The sequence below is a fragment of the Homo sapiens genome, chromosome 3, assembly GCF_000001405.40.
Source record: "Homo sapiens chromosome 3, GRCh38.p14 Primary Assembly".
Classification (NCBI taxonomy): domain Eukaryota; kingdom Metazoa; phylum Chordata; class Mammalia; order Primates; family Hominidae; genus Homo; species Homo sapiens.
The window spans coordinates 117,775,747-117,797,844 of NC_000003.12; the positions used below are offsets into that span (position 1 = coordinate 117,775,747).

At 37.8% G+C, this 22,098-nt stretch overlaps 1 long non-coding RNA gene across 1 annotated transcript in view, besides 1 other annotated feature; it reads left to right on the plus strand.

Moving 5' to 3' along the window:
- LOC101926953 (uncharacterized) overlaps positions 1-18,638 on the plus strand; it is a 74,452-nt gene extending 55,814 nt beyond the window's left edge. The window contains exons 4-5 of the long non-coding RNA NR_188507.1: positions 14,877-15,101; positions 17,685-18,638. This is a non-coding gene — a long non-coding RNA (uncharacterized LOC101926953). The remainder of the gene's footprint in view (positions 1-14,876; positions 15,102-17,684) is intronic.
- Positions 12,400-12,925: an enhancer, noted in NCBI's record as "NANOG hESC enhancer chr3:117506993-117507518 (GRCh37/hg19 assembly coordinates)". NCBI's record gives its function as "activates a minimal SCP1, AML or CMV promoter by ChIP-STARR-seq in naive H9 embryonic stem cells {active_cell/tissue: H9 hESC(naive)}" and the evidence as "EXISTENCE:reporter gene assay evidence [ECO:0000049][PMID:30033119]".
- Positions 18,639-22,098: the final 3,460 nt, after the last annotated feature.

Sequence of the window (22,098 nt, forward strand, 5' to 3'; positions counted from 1 at the left end):
AATACCTGATGGGTCATTAAGCAGTGGGCCAACTTGGTACTCTCAACCATTGGGTCCTTGGGTGTCTAAGATATTGGTTGAAAAGTTTTTATTCAAGGGCCACCAAGAGAATACAAGAATAATGTGTTCCAAATAGCTCCAATCAATTTTATTTTTAAAAGTTCATAGTTGCTTTCTGGATGTTGTAAGTCAAAATAAAAACTGTTGAAATGGGGTATTTTAGGCACATTTGTTTGGAATCATGCTCTGAAAATTTGCAGATGCATGCCTATGAGCAAAACTGTGGGAACCTAGAAGGTTTACTGGGGTAGGAGGGGAAAAAAAACAAGTTCATTCAACTCTGGCAACAGGTTTCTAGAATTATAGAGTTTTAGATCAATGCTTTATCAAATGAACATTTTTATAAATTGACTGGATTAATTTTGTGACTATTATAAAGCCATAGTAAGCCAAATTGCAGAATTAACAATTGATACACATGACTGAAAATATGTTAAAATAATTATTTGGTGAACTTCTATGCACAAGTTGTTACTGTTTTTTTTTTCTTCTAAAATTCCTGAATAGTTTTTTTCTTGTTTTGTCAGAACCAATTGCTATCTATTGAGTCTTGACACTTCTTGAGTCTTTCATTTCAATTTGGACAGTTTAATCCATTCTTTGGAGCTTCTTTTTTCTTCTTTGGAGAAGACAAAATACTTCTGTTTTCTATTCTGGAGCCATTCCCTAAATGATCCAGGATTTTCACTTCGATGGACTTAAGTTAGCTTCTCAAAACATTGGATTACTGCTGTTAAGTGTGAAATTAACTAGTTAATAAAACTAAGTTCAGAAGTTTCAATGGACTGAATCAAGGTTATCCCTATAATGGTGCTACATTAACTCATTTGGTTCTAATACACTTTCTTTAGGGGGAAAGACAGAGAAAAAGCATATTTCATCTACTTATAATGAAGACCATCCATAAGCCTGGTTACTTTTACAGGAGGATGTTTTGTAAGCCTGTGGGGTAACAAAGCAAAACAAAACAAACAAAACATGGATTTCCAGCCCCTGTCAAATGTCAACTCTCATTCACAGAATACTGTGTTAGGTATGGGCTTCGCTCTGCTGTTTACCTGAGCAGCAGGCATTAGTGTGAGTTGTCCCCAGAAGGCATGACACCAAATTGGTTCAGAGAGAGATTTGTAAGGGTTAGTTAAAAAAAAATGGGTTTATAATTATAAAGCCAGGTGCTACTCTTGTTTCTTATTCTTCTTCAACTATTTCTGAAACAATTAATAAGGAAAAAGAGCAACACTGGAAAAACTCATCCAAAATTACCACTAAGGCATACAACCAATAGGTTAATAAATAAGTGTGCAGTAACTATAAATGGGGTGTCTGCTTATGACTCCATGATAAAGAGAAGAAAAAATGACAATGCATACAAATACACTTTATAACATGCATCATGGTTGCAAACATTACAATATGCATTGCCTCTGGTGCTACCATTGGCGAAGAAGAACTAATGACCTTGTCAGTAGAACCACTCAGGCTATAATATAAGACTCACCTTATGCCATCTTGAAAATCTTACAAGGTCCTCGAAAGTCAGGGCCCATGTTCTACCTTGATATTCCCCACAGCACCCAGAAAAAAATATTTTGACTGGAACAAAATCCCCGATAAAATATTTTGGATTAACAACAAAATTATGTGTGGCAATGAATACATACACTAGCCTACTGATTCAAACAAGGGCAAGGTAAGGAAGAAAGGCTAAGATAAAGCCCATACAATGACATTATAGCAAAAAATGTTAAGATCTCTGTTAGGAGAAATAGGACAAGGAAAAGAGATTTCTAGTATGGAGCAGAGAGATTAAAATGCTGAAATTTGACAGAAAGAAAACAGAACAATTTAAATTTGATTTTTCATAGCTTCTCTGTTAAAGGGCATAAATGTTCTTGAGAATGAAAAGAGTAGAATAAACATCTGTCAGAAAGATATGCAGCTCAATATAGGTGAAAAAATTGGGGAAAAACTCGCTTTAAATGCTGTTCAGTCTTCCTGCTGAGACAAATTACAACTTTGGGGTACTGATAAAATTTACTATTAAAGAAAATGAATTACTGAGAATGTTTTTAAAGAAATAATGGAGAAGTATAAGTGGGATGAAGATCAAAGATAAGCAAATACCTGATTTTCAGAAGAGAACATGTTAATTATATGCACTAAATAATTTTGAGGGGGGTGGAGCCAAAATGGCCAAATAGGAACAGCTCCAGTCTACAGCTCCCAGTGTGAGCAACACAGAAGATGGGTGATTTCTGCATTTCCAACTGAGGTACCAGGTGCATCTCACTGGGGAGTGTCGGAGAGTGGGTGCAGGACAGTGGGTGCAGTGCACCAAGCATGAGCCAAAGCACGGCAAGGCATCACCTCACCCGGGAAGCACAAGGGGTCAGGGAATTCCCTTTCCTAGTCAAAGAAAGGGGTGACACATGGCACCTGGAAAATCGGGTCACTCCCACCCTAATACTGTGCTTTTCCAACAGTCTTAGCAAACGGCACACCAGGAGATTATATCCTGCACCTGGCTTGGAGGGTCCTATGCCCACGGAGCCTCAATTATTGCTAGCACAGCAGTCTGAGATCAAACTGCAAGGTGGCAGCAAGGCTGGGGGAGGGCAGCCCACCATTGCCGAGGCTTGAGTAGGTAAACAAAGTGGCCTGGAAGCTCAAACTGGGTGGAGCCCACCACAGCTCAAGGAGGTCTGCCTGCCTCTGTAGACCCCACCTCTGGGGGGCAGGGCATAGCCAAACAAAAGGCAGCAGAAAACTCTGCAGACTTAAATGTCCCAGTCTGACAGCTTTGAAGAGAGTAGTGGTTCTCCCAGCATGCAGCTGGAGATCTGAGAATGGACAGACTGCCTCCTCAAGTGGGTCCCTGACCCCGAGTAGCCTAACTGGGAGGCACCCCCCAGTAGGGGCAGACTCACACCTCACACGGCCGGGTACTCCTCTGAGACAAAACTTCCAGAGGAATGATCAGACAGCAACATTTGCTGTTCACCAATATCTGCTGTTCTGCAGCCTCCACTGTTGATACCCAGGCAAACAGGGTCTGGAGTGGACCTCCAGCAAACTCCAACAGACCTGCAGCCAAGGGTCCTGACTGTTAGAAGGAAAACTAACAAACAGAAAGGACATCCACACCAAAACCCCATCTGTATATCACCATCATCAAAGACCAAAGGTAGATAAAACCACAAAGATGGTGAAAAAACAGAGCAGAAAAACTGGAAATTCTGAAAATCAGAGTGCCTCTCCTCCTGCAAAGGAACACAGCTCCTCACCAGCAACAAAACAAAGCTGGACAGAGAATGACTTTGATGAGTGGAGAGAAGAAGGCTTCAGATGATCAAACTACTCTGAGCTAAAGGAGGAAGTTCGAACCCATGGCAAAGAAGTTAAAAACCTTGAAAAAAAATTAGACAAATGGCTAACTAGAATAACCAATGCAGAGAAGTGCTTAAAGGACCTGATGGAGCTGAAAACCATGGCACGAGAACTACATGACGAATCCACAAGCCTCAGCAGCCGATTCAATCAACTGGAATAAAGGGTATCCGTGATGGAAGATCAAATGAATGAAATGAAGTGAGAAGAGAATTTTAGAGAAAAAAGAATAAAAAGAAATGAACAAAGCCTCCAAGAAATATGGGACTATGTGAAAAGACCAAATCTATGTCTGACTGGTGTACCTGGCAGTGATGGGGAAAATGGAACCAAGTTGGAAAACACTCTGCAGGATATTATACAGGAGAACTTCCCCAATCTAGCAAGGCAGGCCAACATTCACATTCAGGAAATACAGAGAATGCCACAAAGATACTCCTCAAGAAGAGCAACTCCAAGACACATAATTGTCAGATTCACCAAAGTAGAAATGAAGGAAAAAATGTTAAGGGCAGCCAGAGAGAAAGGTCGGGTTACCCTCAAAGAGAAGCCCATCAGATTAACAGCTGATCTCTCAGCAGAAACTCTACAAGCCGGAAAAGAGTGGGGTCCAATATTCAACATTCTTAAAGAAAAGAATTTTCAACCCAGAATTTCATATCCAGCCAAACTAAGCTTCATAAGTGAAGAAGAAATAAAATACTTTACAGACAAGCAAATGCTGAGAGATTTTGTCACCACCAGACCTGCCCTAAAAGAGCTCCTGAAGGAAGCACTAAACATGGAAAGGAAAAACTGGTACCAGCCACTGTAAAAACATGCCAAATTGTAAAGACCATCGAGGCTAGGAAGAAACTGCATCAACTAACGAGCAAAATCACCAGCTAACATCATAATGACAGGATCAAATTCACACATAACAATAGTAACCTTAAATGTAAATGGGCTAAATGCTCCAGTTAAAAGACACAGACTGGCAAATTGGATAAAGAGTCAGGACCCATCAGTGTGCTGTATTCAGGAAACCCATCTCACGTGCAGAGACACACATACGCTCAAAATAAAGGGATGGAGGAAGATCTACCAAGCAAATGGAAAACAAAAAAAGGCAGGGGTTGCAATCCTAGTCTCTGATAAAACAGACTTTAAACCAACAAAGATCAAACGAGACAAAGAAGGCCATTACGTAATGGTAAAGGGATCAATTCAACAAGAAGAGCTAACGATCTTAAATATATATGCACCCAATACAGGAGCACCAAGATTCATAGATTCATAAAGGAAGTCCTTAGTGACCTACAAAGAGACTTAGACTCCCATACAATGATAATGAGAGACTTTAACACCCTACTGTCAACATTAGACAGATCAATGAGACAGAAAGTTAACAAGGATATCCAGGAATTGAATTCAGCTCTGCACAAAGAAGACCTAATAGACATCTACAGAACTCTCCACCTCAAATCAACAGAATATACATTCTTTTCAGCACCACACCACACCTATTCCAAAGTTGACCACATAGTTGGACGTAAAGCACTCCTTAGCAAATGTAAAAGAACAGAAACTATAACAAACTGTCTCTCAGACCACAGTGCAATCAAACTAGAACTCAGGATTAAGAAACTCACTCAAAACTGCTCAACTACATGGAAACTGAACAACCTGCTCCTGAATGACTACTGGGTACATAAGGAAATGAAGGCAGAAATAAAGATGTTCTTTGAAACCAAAGAGAACAAAGACACAACATACCAGAATCTCTGGGACACATTCAAAGCAGTGTGTAGAGGGAAATTTATAGCACTAAATGTCCACAAGAGAAGGTAGGAAAGATCTAAAATTGACACCCTACCATCACAATTAAAAGAACTAGAAAAGCAAGAGCAAACACATTCAAAAGCTAGCAGAAGGCAAGAAATAACTAAGAGTGGAGCAGAACTGATGGAAATAGAGACACAAAAAACCCTTCAAAAAATCAATGAATCCAGGAGCTGGTTTTTTTTAAAAGATCAACAAAATTGATAGACTGTTAGCGAAACTAATAAAGAAGAAAAGAGAGAAGAATCAAACAGATGCAATAAAAAATGATAAAGGGGATATCACCACTGATCCCACAGAAATACAAACTACCATCAGAGAATACTACAAACACCTCTACGCAAATAAACTAGAAAATCTAGAAGAAATGGATAAATTCCTTGACACATACACCCTCCCAGGACTAAACCATGAAGAAGTTGAATCTCTGACTAGACCAATAACAGGCTCTGACATTGAGGCAATAATCAATAGCTTACCAACCAAAAAGAGTCCAGGACCGGATGTATTCACAGCCGAATTCTACCAGAGGTACAAGGAGGAACTGGTACCATTTCTTCTGAAGCTATTCCAATCAATAGAAAAAGAGGGAATCCTCCCTAACTCATATTATGAGGCCAGCATCATCCTGATACCAAAGCCTGGCAGAGACACAACAAAAAAAGAGAATTTTAGACCAATATCCCTGATGAATATTGATGCAAAAATCCTCAATAAAATACTGGCCCACTGAATCCAGCAGCACATCAAAAAGCTTATCCACCATGATCAAGTGGGCTTCATCCTTGGGATGCAAGGCTGGTTCAACATACGCAAATCAATAAATGTAATCCAGCATATAAAGAGAACCAACGACAAAAACCACATGATTATCTCAATAGATGCAGAAAAGGCCTGTGACAAAATTCAACAATGCTTCATGCTAAAAACTCTCAATAAATTAGGTATTAATGAGATGGATCTCAAAATAATAAGAGCTATCTATGACAAACCCACAGCCAATATCATACTGAATGGGCAAAAACTGGAAGCATTCCCTTTGAAAACTGGCACAAGACAGGGATGCCCTCTCTCACCACTCCTATTCAACATAGTGTTGGAAGTCCTGGCCAGGGCAATCAGGCAGGAGAAGGAAATAAAGGGTATTCAATTAGGAAAAGAGGAAGTCATATTGTCCCTGTTTGCAGATGACATGATTGTATATTCTAGAAAACCCCATTGTCTCAGCCCAAAATCTCCTTAAGCTGATAGGCAACTTCAGCAAAGTCTCAGGATACAAAATCAATGTGCAAAAATCACAAGCATTCTTATACACCAATAACAGACAAACAGAGAGCCAAATCATGAGTGAACTCCCATTCACAATTGCTTCAAAGAGAATAAAATACCTAGGAATCCAACTTACAAGGGATGTGAAGGACCTCTTCAAGGAGAACTACAAAACACTGCTCAATGAAATAAAAGAGGATACAAACAAATGGAAGAACATTCCATGCTCATGGATAGGAAGAATCAATATCGTGAAAATGGCCATACTGCCCAAGGTAATTTATAGATTCAATGCCATCCCCATCAAGCTACCAATGACTTTCTTCACAGAATTGGAGAAAACTACTTTAAAGTTCATATGGAACCAAAAAAGAGCCCGCATTGCCAAGTCAATCCTAAGCCAAAAGAACAAAGCTGGAGGCATCATGCTACCTGACTTCAAACTATACTACAAGGCTACAGTAACCAAAACAGCATGGTACTTGTACCAAAACAGAGACATAGACCAATGGAACAGAACAGAGCCCTCAGAAAAAATGCAGCATACCTACAACTATCTGATCTTTGACAAACCTGGCAAAAACAAGAAATGGGGAAAGGATTCCCTATTTAATAAATGGTGCTGGGAAAACTGGCTAGCCATATGTAGAAAGCTGAAACTGGATCCCTTCCTTACATCTTATACAAAAATTAATTCAAGATGCATTAAAGACTTACATGTTAGACCTAAAATTATAAAAACCCTAGAAGAAAACCTAGGCAATAGCATTCAGGACATAGGCATGGGCAAGGACTTCATGTCTAAAACATCAAAAGCAATGGCAACAAAAACAAAAATTGACAAATGGGATCTAATTAAACTAAAGAGCTTCTGCACAGCAAAAGAAACTACCATCAGAGTGAACAGGCAACCTACAGAATGGGAGAAAATTTTTGCAATCTACTCATCTGACAAAGGGCTAATATCCAGAATCTACAATGAACTCAAACAAATTTACAAGAAAAAAACAAACAACCCCATCAAAAAGTGGGCAAAGGATATGAACAGACACTTCTCAAAAGAAGACATTTATGCAGGCAAAAGACACATGAAAAAATGCTCATCATCACTGGCCATCAGAGAAATGCAAATCAAAACCACAATGAGATACCATCTCACATCATTTAGAATGGCGATCATTAAAAAGTCAGGAAACAACAGGCGCTGGAGAGGATGTGGAGAAATAGGAACACTTTTACACTGTTGGTGGGACTGTAAACTAGTTCAACCATTGTGGAAGTCAGTGTGGCAATTCCTCAGGGATCTAGAACTAGAAATACCATTTGACCCAGCCATCCCATTACTGGGTATATACCCAAAGGATTATAAATCATGCTGCTATAAAGACACATGCACACGTATGTTTATTGCGGCACTATTCACAATAGCAAAGACTTGGAACCAAGCCAAATGTCCAACTGATAGACTGGATTAAGAAAATATGGCACATAGACACCATGGAATACTATGCAGCCCTAAAAAATGATGAGTTCATGTCCTTTGTAGGGACATGGATGAAGCTGGAAACTATCATTCTCAGCAAACTATCGCAAGGACAAAAAACCAAACACCACATGTTCTCACTCATAGGTGGGAATTGAACAATGAGAACACTTGGACACAGGAAGGGGAACATCACACACTGGGGCCTGTTGTGGGGTGGGGGGAGCAGGGAGGGATAGCATTAGGAGATATACCTAATGTTAAATGACGAGTTAATGGGTGCAGCACACCAACATGGCACATGTATACATATGTAACAAACCTGCACATTGTGCACATGTACTCTAAAACTTAAAGTATAATAAAAAAAATAAATAACATAAAAGAATAAAAAAATAATTTTGATATTGATTCTTAGAAAATAATGCAATGGCCATTAAGAGATACAACGAATCACTGCAAATAATTCAGAATTTTCGCAGCTCCTTTTTCTCCATATAATTATTAATATTTTAAATTCATGAGAAATATAGCAGGTATTTATTTATCTAGATTTTAGTAAGATACTTCCTACCATCCTCACCACCACCTTCTTGTTAAAAATCAACATATATGGACTGGATTGTAATAGTAGCTAGATTTGTAACTGACTGATCAATGGCAACCACAGCATGCAAATGACGGGCAAATCAGTATTAACTAAGCATGATTTAGAAGCTCCGAATTGAGTTCTGTTCTTCAACTTAACCTGTTCAACATTTTACAAAACAATTCAGGCCAGGTGCAGTGGCTCTTTCCTATAATCCAAGTGCTATGGGAGGCTGAGTTGGGAGGATTGCTTGAGCCCAGGAATTCAAGGCTGCAGTGAGCTATGATTGTGTCACTGCACTCTAGCCCAGGCAATGGTATAAGAGCCTTTCTCTAAAAAAAAAAAAAAAAAAAGTAAAACACAATTCAACTAAGTGAATGTCACATTTGTACATAACATGAATTTGGGGGCAGGAATAATGAATCGGCTGAGTAATAGAATAGGGTTTTAAAATAACCCAAAATGTTAGAAGAATGATACAAATCTAAACCAATGAAATATATTTAGATAGATGTTAGGATTTATTGGCAAATAAAAACAAAACTACACATACAACTATGAGGTGAGAGAGTATAGCAATACTAGCTGTGCCTATGGGGGAAACCTATGGAGTAGATTTCTAATTTGATGATGTGAGTTGCCAAAAAAATCTGATGCAAACTTAAGCAGCAATAAACATCTAGGAATTATCCAGAAAGTGGCAGAACATAATTCTACTTTATTCCACATCATTTACAGAATTTCTAGAGAATTATGCATACTACTGAGTTGTTGCAGAGATATAAATAAAGTGAATTACATTCTGAAGAGAAAACTTCAAACCCATCACTTGAGACACTGTGGAAGAATTGAGGCAATATGGCCTGTAGAGCAGGTGAATATTGGTATTAGCACACATTGCAAAGCAGAATAAATTTAGAAAACAATCCTTTTGGTACTGAGAAATAGTTTTCTCCTTTTAAGTTTTATTTTGTGCTTTAAAAGTAATTTTATTCCAATTATTTAAGTGAAATAGGTCCACTGTAGACAACTGAGAAAATATGTCACAATATGCAAAAAAATTTTGTTATTATTGTTAGTATTTGGTCTATTTCATTGCAGTTTCTGCACATATATTTCTAATCATACTGTATATAATTTTGTACACTATCACTTAGCATTATATCATTAATGCTTCATTTTAAAAACCAATATTTACTTTCTCACTCAAGTCTGAAGATTTTGTGAACATGTGCAGAAAGACTTTGAGTTTTTAAGTTCACTTTCAAAACTAAGTACAATGTAGAAGACTCTCAGGTACTGTCCTAGACGTTGGGGACACAGCAAAGAACAAAAGACACAAAGAATTTTTGTTGGGTTTATATTTCAGGGTGTGATTGTTGAGAAGAGGTATAAAATGGACATGTAAGCAAATAAATGAAAACAATAATTTCTTATATGGTATACATAAGGAAATTTGATTTGACAAATGTACCCCTAAAAATGTATGACATTTGAACTGAGACTCGAATGACAAGGAGGAGGAAGCAATGTAAAAATCTCACAGTGGACAGTTTCAGGCAGAAGAAACAGCAAATATGAGAATCTATACAGGTGAGAATAAAAGAGTCACATGGCTTGAGTTTGTAAGATTGGAGGAGGGCGGTACAAGATGAGGTCACGTGGATAGTCATGGTGAGGTCACGACAAGGATTTTTATTGTATTCTGCATGCAACGGGAATCTTTTAGATGACTTTGTAGCAGGGGAATGACTTTACCTGGTTTACTTTTTAAAAATATCATTCTGGCTACCACAGGTAGGATGAATTATGGTGGGAACAAAGATAGCATTATGAGAAAAAATACTTTGGTATTATAGTCAATAGAGACACCAGATAGATGTTATAGTTAAGTTCTAGTTCCATTTGCTAAACATGAAAGAGTGAGTTAACCTCTCTGAGCTTTGATTTCCTCCTGTGTGAAATACGAAGTATAATATCTACCTTTTGTAAAATCCACCTTTGCAGATGTCTTATTTGCTACTTTGTTATATGAGTTGAAAATCTCAAATGACTAAATAAACATATGTTATCTTTTTTGGCATATAAAATAAGAAGCTAAAAAAGAAGATTTAAATGTGACTCTAAAATCCTTCTGGGTAATCACGGGGTAATTTAAACTCAGTCACATGATCTGTGGTTGAGCTATTTTGCATTCCATTCTCATACCTTTTAAGATCCTCAGTGAAAATAAATAAAGTGATGGTAATTTTTAAGAATGATGACTAAATATGGAACATAGTTGGGGAGAAGAGGACAAGTCTATTTTAGGGGATTAGACTTCCGAATAATTTAAAAAATTCCTTCAGTAAGCACAAATCACATAAATAAATTATATAGGTTAAATTCCTAAAAGTGAGCTCTAAGTAACTATCTTAACTATTTAATTAACACTAAATAGTGCTGTTTAAAGTTGGCCACTTAACGTTTTGTTGTATTATGATTGGTAATTGTTGCCACTGGAATTCTACCCCAGTCTCAGTTCTAAAGCCTTTCTTGGGTAAGCCTGAGGAAAGACACCTGGAAATACATATTTGACCATTAGGTAGTGATCTAATTCCCAGGTGGCCTGGCTTGTTCTTTGGAACTTTTCTTTTAGGGTCCATGCAACATCACTTTACCCATACTTTAGTGATTTTGTTGGTTGGGCACATCTTGCCAGGTGAACAGTGTGACTTCTTTCTCCTGACTACTTCAAATACTTTTTTGGACAAGCAGGGAACAAATAAACAAACAAATCAATTTTCTACTCTCAGAAAGCCTGTTCCAAGGGTAGATTTAAGAGGCTCAACTGAAAACACCTTGCCTATTAGCCAGCGATCTTAGAGATGACCAAAAGTTTCTAAATAGCTTTGGAGGTCATTAAGAACATTATAGTAATAGGATTGAAGCTTTTAGGTCAGACTATCTATAAAAATGAGGGAAGGATCATCTGTCTTTTAGTCTTTACTACTGTAATCCTGAGAAGTTTCATTCCAACACAAGGGTACTGCAATTTTCCACCAAAAGGCCTGATTATATGTGCTCTAGACTTCTTTCATATTTGTCTCCACATTCATATTGCAGAGTCAAAAATGCCAGTGTACCTGTGTATGTCTCTGTGTATAAACATGGGCATATTTAACTTATCATACCTCAATTTAGGGATACTTGACTCTATTTTTAAAAGTAGGAAATTGTAATTATTTAAACATGACAACACCCAGAAATTGTACTTCTTTTGTGCTCTTGGCTTAAGAACTAATAATGAAGCCAGAAATCTGTTAGGACAATTAGAAACTAGCCTGCTGTAATCTAAGCTGTAAACTGGCTAGAACGTGGCTGTGTTACATTCTCATCTCTGAAAATTGATAAAAAGATGTGTACAATAAACCTGTCCTCAGACATTTAAAAGAACTTGCTAGCACACACATTTTAAAGGAGATATATATATGTGTGTGTGTGTGTGTGTGTGTGTGTATACGTATATATATACACACACATATATATATACACACACATGTATATATATATATACACACACACATGTATATATATATATATATATATACACACACATGTGTATATATATATATATATTCTTTAGGTAAAAAGGAAAAATTAAAATCTGTTCACTGAGAAACAGATTAGAGGCCATAAAAGAATTTGGCACACGATTATGAGATTTAAGTGAAAATGACATGCAGTGATATTCCAATGTATCATGGCACCAGAGAATACCCACAGCCTTCTCCACACAAAAAGAAGCTTTGCATGCTGTCTTCTAAATGCTGAAGCCAAGAGTGACATGGCCTTTCTGGGAGCTGAGGTTCAGCCTTGGAGTTTGCCTTGGCTCAGATCCCAGGAATTGGGCTACTGAGAGCTAAGGGCAAGATTCTGGGCCTAAGAAGCCACAGGAATGGACCAAGCCTCTCTCAGAGGCAGCAAGGCTACACAACCTGAAGGACTTAGGGGGAGGTTTTATTGTCCCCAGTGGAATTAGCATCACAGAAGGAAATGCATTAAGTACATGCTGTTAAAGAGCAGCTGTGTGATGTGCTTGACAGAGCATAAGATCCAGAGGCAGAAATGTAGGTTTAAGCCTCGACTCTGTTACAAAGAATCCTAGCCAAATCACACATTGCCATTGGATATACAGCTTCCTTATCTGTGTAATGGGAATAATAATAGTTAACTCATTTCAAGTGCTTAATACATTCCAGGCACCTGTACTGTGAGGGTCATGGACATGCCCCACTCCACAACGGTCTCCCTTCAAGAGCATCTGCTGCCAAGAGGCCATGTGGGATGAGAGCCTCCAGCGGCTACCCTTTGGGATCCACGGGGAGCTTGCACTAGGGCCATGCTTCCTCCAGGCTGTTCTCAGACAATGACTCAGTAGGGTATTAGAACTGACCTATTTCTTCCCATTGCAGACACCTAGCAGGCAACTTTTTATTTGGATTGAGTCTTTTTCAGAATCCCACTCTGAAGCTCTTCCAAACCAATCCTTTATCTGTGTGGTCCTTTGCTCACATATGTCAGACCTACATTGCAATCTGAAGCCTCCTTTCACCTTCTCTGCTGTCTTCTCCTCAATTCTTCACATGTATTTTTTTCCCAGTAAATCTCTACAACGATTTATTCCATTTAGGTCTCTGCTTCTTGAACAACCCAAACTGAAACACATAGTAAGGGATTGATATAATCTCATTTCCTTTTCAAAACAAGCCCCTGAAATTCATATTATGATCTCTACTTTACAAACATGGAAAGGAAGAGAGAGAAATTAAAAAATAAAACAGTTCTTACTTCACAAAGTTGTTGCGAAAATCTAATGAGATAGTATATGTGGAAGGGCTTTACAACTATTTTTTTTTCAGGGGTAGGGAAAAACACAGAGTACCCGTAGCATAGTTTTTTTCCCTTAGTTTTCTATCAGTTTTAGGCACTTACGGTAGAAAACTTTGCTTAGCTTCCAAAGGTGCCATGAGAAAGCAATACTATACTATACTCCCACCCTTTGTCTCACATCTTTGTCTATCATTTGGGGACAAAGTAGAGTGACATTTGCACATGTAAGTCAGGGGAATATGACATGCTTGACATGACATTCTGATCTGCAAAACCAGAGTTCTATTCGCCTAACCTCTCTAATCAATTTAATAATCAGCAATTTACTAGCCACTAAGGGAGACAAAGCTGCAGGAAATAAGAGATTTTTGCTTTTATTAATGTCCTTCCTAAGCATGCAAGCATATTAACAAAAGTCCTGGTATTCAAGTATGTAGTTCTCAGTGTGGAAGGTCAACATACTCCTTTATTTTCCCCCTGATAATTAAGCCTGACCTGAAACAAGGCTAATTTTCTGTTCTTTGGTGAAACAGAGGCTATCAGTTTTTTCATACACCAGTTTTCATACAGCGGAATAATTTCTTCCTTTTTGCAACTTCGGAACATCACTTTGATGCACCATTTTGCACTCTGGATACAACCTATGCTTCCTTGATCTCCATCTTGTTCTCGAGTACAGTTACAAATTTATTGAAACAACAGTTTCGACAATAAAACTAACCCCACTTCTAGAGACCAGCAAGCAGTGTCCACAGAGTATACAGGAAGTTGCGAGCCAGGCATCATTCTCAACCCCCTAGATGTTAAGAAAAAAATCATTCAGACAGTCTCTAGTATTGCTTTTACTGAGAGGTTGGAAGGAAGGGCCAGAAAAAACTATGAGAAAAGAGGACAACCATGGTGGGCCTGAGCAGAGAGTAGCACTGAGAACTACAGGGTAGAAGAAAGTGCCAGTAAACAGTGCCTGAAGGGAACCAGCAGTTGAATGCATTGTCTGCAGATTCTTCTTGAATGTGAATAGTCAGAGAAAGCAACAAGGATGGAACTGTTGCATTTGTGGAGTTCCCAATGGTGTTTCCAAGGAGATACACTGATTAGACCAATTGATGAGTTTAGAATCTTGGGGGAGTCAAAAAGCCCATCTCCTTAAGCTGACTGAATATTGGCCTCTAACAGATTCAGCAATGTCAGAGAATTCCAGGGAGCTTAGCAAGCTATCAGGGGAAAGTACCTCCTCCTCCCTGCTAATTCTGACAGCTCCTGCCTCTGACTGAGATGCATTCTTCTGAATAAAAGTGCCAGCTTGCCTCTCCCACAGGGGCTGCAGGCAGCAGGAAACTGAGACCCCTGTGTGGGTCTCACTGGCTTCTCCATTTGTTTTCATTTTGCCAACAGACACTTCTATTTAAACTTCTTGGAAGGATATCTCAATAACATTCCTTTGCTGAGGACCATAAGATAGAAGATGAGAATCCATCTGCCCTCTTCTCTGCACCCAGGCTTCAATCCTGTTTGATCATGCAGGGGCTACAAGGCCTTCGACACAAAGAACTTGTCTTAGATTCTAATCAGTTTAACAAATAGGACAGACAGCTGCTGAGCACTGTCTGAGTGACACTGGTAAGTATGCATTTAGCGATTAGCTTACATCCATTTATCAAAGTAAGGCTTGATAACAGACCAAAAATTATATGCACACTCCAAAAACTAAATCTCTGGCCCATCTTCCTTTTGATTCAAACCAGTCTTCTGCAAATCCAAATACGGCATACCCCCGTGAAACAGATCTTGTTTAATATTTACCAAATTTGTTTTAAATGAGGCGTTGCCATATTTCCTTGGCCCAATTCTTACAAGTTATTTTGTGATTATATGATCAGTTAGGTAAATATATTATTAGAAAGGAATGCCTTTTCTCTGCTCCCCATTTCCATATGGGAATATTTTCCCTAAGCACGCTCCTGGTTTCTATCCATCCCTTTACATATTTCCTCTGGGGAGTTGGTATAGCACACCTGATGGTTAAATTTGGGAAGAATAATGCTGTTGGCTCAGATTCACTCTTCCTTCTTATGGGAAGGGGCCTTCCCACTGAGACCACAGCCTCCTCAGCTTCTCCTTGCTACGAGTCCTGCAGGAACCTACCTTTGCAGGCTCTGGGGCAGCCTTCCCAGGGACAGAGCTGCCTTTCCCAGGAGTGGTAAGACTTCTAAGTCAAGGGTTCAGTATTAGCAAAGCCACATCCTAACAGACCTCAAAATGCAACAAATAAATTAGTCATTATCAGTACTAAGATGACATTTTGGCCTCCATTTTTCCTTCACTTTATTCTCAACTTGTTCAGAACCAGGCTCAGAAAAAGAGATCCTATTGACTGGGAGATTCTTGAAGACATAGATAATTATAGTATCAATAGTCTTACTATCATGTGACTAAAATGTCTTTTATATCCTTTAATAATAAATTCCCTTATGAGGAAAATTGTAACTCACAAACATGGAGACAGTGGGGTAGGTACAATAGGATAATGATCCCTGGGTCAATGCGTTTCAAAAACTGAAAATCAGGTGATACATAGGCATGTTTTTCAAAGAAGCAAATAGAAGAATAAGATACTTAAACCACACAACATTATTTTTTAGGAACTTTAGATGAACTTGTTGTTAGGCCCAGTAAATAAAGTCTCATCTTTCACATATAGTCACACACACATACACACACACACACACACACACACACACACAAACTTACTCATTAGCCAGATAAGATTGCTGAAAAATAGATAATGTATGTGAAAAAAAACTCTTTGTAAATTAAGGTGCTATAGAATATCAATGTATAAAGTATTATTACTATTGCTTTTATGGATACTCATATTCAGGAGAAACCAAGAAAAATTGGTGGAAGAAAGCTAAGAGAACGTAGCAAAATGTTGAATCAAGATTGCAAAGGACGTTTTTAGTATGTCTAAGATATTTATTCTTCGGTGACTAAACGTTTCACTTAAGTTTTCTGATAATAAAGGTATATAATATTATAATTTGGTATTTTGTATTTATGGTAACTTGTAGGGTTTTTAAATCACACTGCCATACATATGTTTGTTGTGCTATGCATATTTTGTTATGAGGAAACATGTTGATTTTTGGCGCATTTCACCACAGATGTGCCTATTAGCAGTGTTCCGATCTGTCTGTCAGTTTGTGAGAGTGCCATATGCAGATAGTGCCAATGACCCTCCCACATATGATACTCCTATGTTTATGAGACATAGATAAAATAAGCCTGGACCTTAACTCTCTATGCGAAAAGAGCTGGACAGACACACAACACCCTGTTCAGAGGAGAGAACCCTGCCCCCGCATGTGACACCCATAACCCATGTGGGTACTCAGATGCCATGACACTCACAAAAGGGGCACTTCTTTGTGTCATCCAGTTACTTCAGATAGACAAGACACAAACTGCAGTTGAAAATTATCTCAACCAAAGAGTCCCATAGCCTACACAAGGCTGAGTTCTCAGCAAGTACCTGCAGAAAGTATATACACCCTTAAAGCCAATTCTTCCAAGCTCTGGAAGCAGTCAGACTCCTGAGTGCTTACGGAATGGAAGCCACCTAAGTCTCTAATCAATAAAAAGTAGTTCTAGGGGTTTATTACTCCCCATAGAATACTCACTTCTTTAAATATGTCTACATTTCTCTATAATTTATACTGCCCTACTTTCAAAAAGGATTCTAGAGACCAATATGTCTATAGAACTGACTTATGCCCAGTTCCTGGTTCATTTTGTCCCCTATAAAATTTTCTCTAATTAAAAGCTTTTACTGAAATTGATAATATTGATCATTTGCTTTTGCATAAACAGACATTTCATATAATACTAATTTTATGTATTTTTGTCAGACTCTTGACTGTAATTCCATAATTGTTTATCTGGTTACATTTCTTGATGCATATGAAGGAGAATGATAATCCATTAATTAAGCACTGTATATAAAATAATTGTGTCTGGTAACCTCTCTACTTTAGAAATATAAACACATGTGTATGCATTTGTATGTGTGTGTGTGTGTGTATACATATACAGTTTTGTATTCTGAAAAGCTTAAATGTTCTAAAAAATCAAGATTTATAGAAATAGAAAATTCTGTCCCCCAAGTGAATTTAATGGCTGAATTTTTATTTATTTTTACTTTAGATTTACATACAAATGAACCACCAATGTCCCCTTCTATCAACTCAGAATAAAATCTGGTTTTAGCATATGCAGTCCTACGAGACATGGTTAAAGGATATGAATGATAGATAGAGATAAAAGAAATCAAGGACCATTCCTCCACAAGTCTCCAAAGAGGAAAACAACAATCGAAGAAAAAAGAGTGAGAGAACAGATGGGCTGGCAGAGTTTTGCTTTCTATGTGACATTGTGTACTTATTATTCGCATGAGGACTAATTTATAAACCCGGATAGTGTTTATAAACTATACTGTCCTAATGGAAATGAAAGCATTAATACAACTAGAAGATTCTTTACTTTCCAAGCTTTAATTAAAATCACAGGCGTTAAGAAGCAAAAGTGCCTTCATGGAATACAAGCCTAATGAAGGATTTCCTTGCCTAGCACAGAGCTCTGTGTGCAGTCCCAGCTTGCTGGCACCAGCCACTGGAAAAGCCGACCCCCGTGTAACCAAAAGAGCTCTCTCTGAAAATTAGAAAAGCAAATCATACCACACATTTTTTTTTTCAAATAAATATAGTTGCCAAGTCAGATCCAGGAAAAACAATAGCACGTCATAAGTAAAACACACACACACACACACAGACACAGACACAGACACACACACACACACACAGCCTTAGAACATGCTATGTTAATTAGCTACCTGGAAGACCAGAGGCAAATGTGTTTGTTCTATGCGCTGAACACTTAAAAGGGAGAGGGAAAGGTGTCAGCTTGGGAAAGAGGAATGTGGAAATATGGCAAAGACAATCTAAGAGGAGAGAGAGAAAGGAAACAAGAGGAAAGGATTCGACAGAGGAATTTCACAACAGCATAGAAGAATAGATCAGGAGTTTTGCTACCAAATAATGGAGAAAAAATACACAGAAGCCTAGGAAGTGACCTTGATTAAAACGCCCACCATGTGAATGCTACTCAGCCGACACACTCATTTTGCCTCTTAAAGGTATCACCTCATTTATGTGTAGGCAAATTAAGGTTGTAGTGGAATTAAACTGTCTTCCCTGTAAATCAGACAGCAAAAAGGAACAGGGAGCTACATATATATATTATATATATGTAGTTACCACCTGCTTTGTTTAGTGATGATGATAATGGTGATAATGATGATGCTTGTTAACGATAATGACATAAATGATGACAGTATATGCAATATATTAAGTACCAATGTTAGGTTAGGTAATATGCTAGGTGTTTTACAAGGATCATTTCTAATTCATAGAACAACTCTGGGAGATAGGTGTTATTTACCACTTAATAGTATATACATATACATTACCCCAAATTATACAACTATTGAGTGACAGCCTGTATTTGAAGGAGCGCTTTAAACGAACAGGATTTTTATTTTATTATTTATTTATTTATTTATTTTGAGACAGGGTCTCACTCTGTTGCCCAGGCTGAAGTGCAGTGGCACGACCTCAACTCACCGCAACCTCTGCCTCCCAGGCTCAGCGATTCTCCCACCTCAGCCTCCAGAGTAGCTAGGACTACAAGTGTGCACCACAACGCCCAGCTAATTTTTGTATCATTTGATAGAGATGGGATTTTACCATGTTGGCCAGGCTGGTCTTGAACTCTGACCTCAAGTGATCCACCCGCCTTTGCCTCCCAAAGTGCTGGGATCGCAGGCGTGAGCTACCACACCCCACCAAGAACAGGATTTTTAAAAACAGCATTCTGGTTGTCCCCAAAGACTAAGATACACACACGTATAATATATCTATTCTTATCCATATTCATAAAAGTATGTATGAAGGGAATGGATGTGAGAAGGAGCTAACATTCACTGAATGTTGTCTTTCTTTCCAGGCACCTGCTGGGTTCATATTTTATTTTATCTCAATTCTCAAAATGTCTTATATGAATTTATCCTTCTTTTTTGTCATATAGTGGAAACTGATGCCCTTATTTTTAAGTTTTGCCTAAATTCACTAGTAAATGGCAGAAGCTGTATTTGAATCTAAGTTGGTCTGACTCTGAATAGTACTGACCAAAAATAAGTGTAATTCAGACCACACATGAGTCACATATATGATTTTAAAGTTTCCAGTGGTCCCGGTATACAGACATGCACAGCTCAACTGCAGTCAACTGTCACCTTCTCTTGGTTCCTGGGTTAATCCAGAATCAAGGATTTTATTTTCCTGTGCCTCTTGGTATGATACCTCTTGACAACCCCATGATGGCTCCAAGTAAGTAGGTAAAGTTGAGTAAGGAATGAGTTCTTGGCGCCCATCAATACTGCACTTTCTAAAGATGCACACGACAGCTCCCAATTCTAGCACAGTTTCAGGCAGGGTAACCAAACCCATAGGGACAGATGTCCTCTTTACTGGCCTCAATCTGTGAAAGGCATTTTTCTGCTAGCTTATTTTGCCCCTCCAATCGGAGAAATAAAATTCCTATGAGAAACCAAGTATACACCTATATATGCCAATTACACTGATTTTAAAATATATCATTTCAGAGTAGAAGGGTGAAAAAAATTATGGTGTGTAGATTAGGAGTTAGTGCCACAGAGATGTGTAACAATGGCTGGTATGATGATGCAGCTTAAAAACACAAGCATTTCTCACTTCAACACTGTTACTGTATTCCTAGAAGTATTCATTCTAAACACCATATGGACATCCTTTTAGAAAATAAACATTGGCCCTTGATTTGCTTGCAAATGTAAGGGGTTTTATATTGGGCTTCCTTAAAGCAGGTGCATTCACTAAGAAATATGTGGGCAGAGGTTAGAATTACCCCCTATTTCCTAATGACGGTAGGCAAGAAGAGTGTGCATTAATTTAATTACTTGTCCATTAATCTAGCATGGTTGTTGAAAGGATTAACATAGCCAGACATCTTTAAAGATAACCACAGAAAGACATTGATTCAGATGAGTGGCCAGAATAGAAGTTTTACTCAAATACAGCCACAGTGTGCTCCATGCAAGCCACTATGCATACAAATAAATGTTACTTCCCTTCAAGGGTTTTCCATTTAAAAATGGATACACTGATTATAAAACTGTGAAAATGCACAAAGCAATAGTAAATAATAATTATATACACTTTTCATTCTCATGTTCTTTGCTTATATGTTCTCAAATTTTCTAGTCAATCTTACTCTAAATGTATTGACAGACCATAACTTTAGTGAACCATTCTTCTTTAATCCCCACCCAGCATATGCTTTGTGAGTCTAATTGGCTATAAATAACAGAACTGAATTTTTAACAAAGCACATATCTGCCTAACCAAATCATACTCCTTTATAATATGCTCATGTTATATCATTATACAAGTAATTAGACAATTTTACATTTCTCTTTTGATATTGACTTAAATAATTTAGTAGACATTCTTTGGAAATTTTAGTGATTTTTAAAAATCATATTTTTAAAGTAAATAAAGTATCATGTCTTTATTTAACCCCTATGATATATTAGTTATTATGCTAAGTGCTAAATAGGTATTGATCATAATTTAACATTTTAGTATTTATAAAAACCTGGATATCACTATTCCCATTTTGCCGCTGAGAAAACTGGGAATCCGAGATATTAACCAAGGGACACAAGAATAAACAACTGGTAAATGGTTGACCAGGCTATAAACCCCAGAACTCTCCAACTTTCATATACAGAATGTTCTTACAATGAGAAAAATGTGATTTTGAATCAAGTCTTGAATAAACTGAGAGTGATCAAGTTGGGTAACACTATTTGGATAGAAAAATAAAGGATGCTTTTAAAATAATAAGTTTTCTTTGTGATTCTTAAAATAATTCTATTCCCCCAAAAAAGAATTTTCATAATATGAGTAATAATAATATTATTAGAATAATAACATAAGAATCTATACTAATCAGTTCTATGTATATATTCTAGTTTATTCATTTAAGCTGTATTCTTACTATTTTATCATCTTATCTTCTAATTACTTGAGCTGAGAGGAGGTTGAGGGTTAAATCTGAAGTTCCTGAAGAAGCACCCAAAAGACATGAGTTGTTGAATGTCTTCCAAAGGGATAGCTGAGCATTACTATGGGCACATCATGCTTGAGGACCCCAAGGGAATAGTAGACAATCAAGGCATCATTGTATAGCAGAAAAGTCAGTAGGTAAAACAGGAAAAGAAGAGACCATTTGCAGTCTCTTTAGTTCATGTCCAGGATTCACTTTCTATATGTACAAGATAGATTAGTGATGCCCAATTCACATCGATCCTGCAAGGATCAAAAGAAAATAAATGGAAATCCTATTAGTCATTGTCTGACTAATAGAAACACAGAGTGTTAGTACCTCTCCTTCCTCCTCACTGAAGCTCATCCATGTCTTGTTCAGTAGGAAAAATTCTCTGTGAGGACAAATGCAAAAG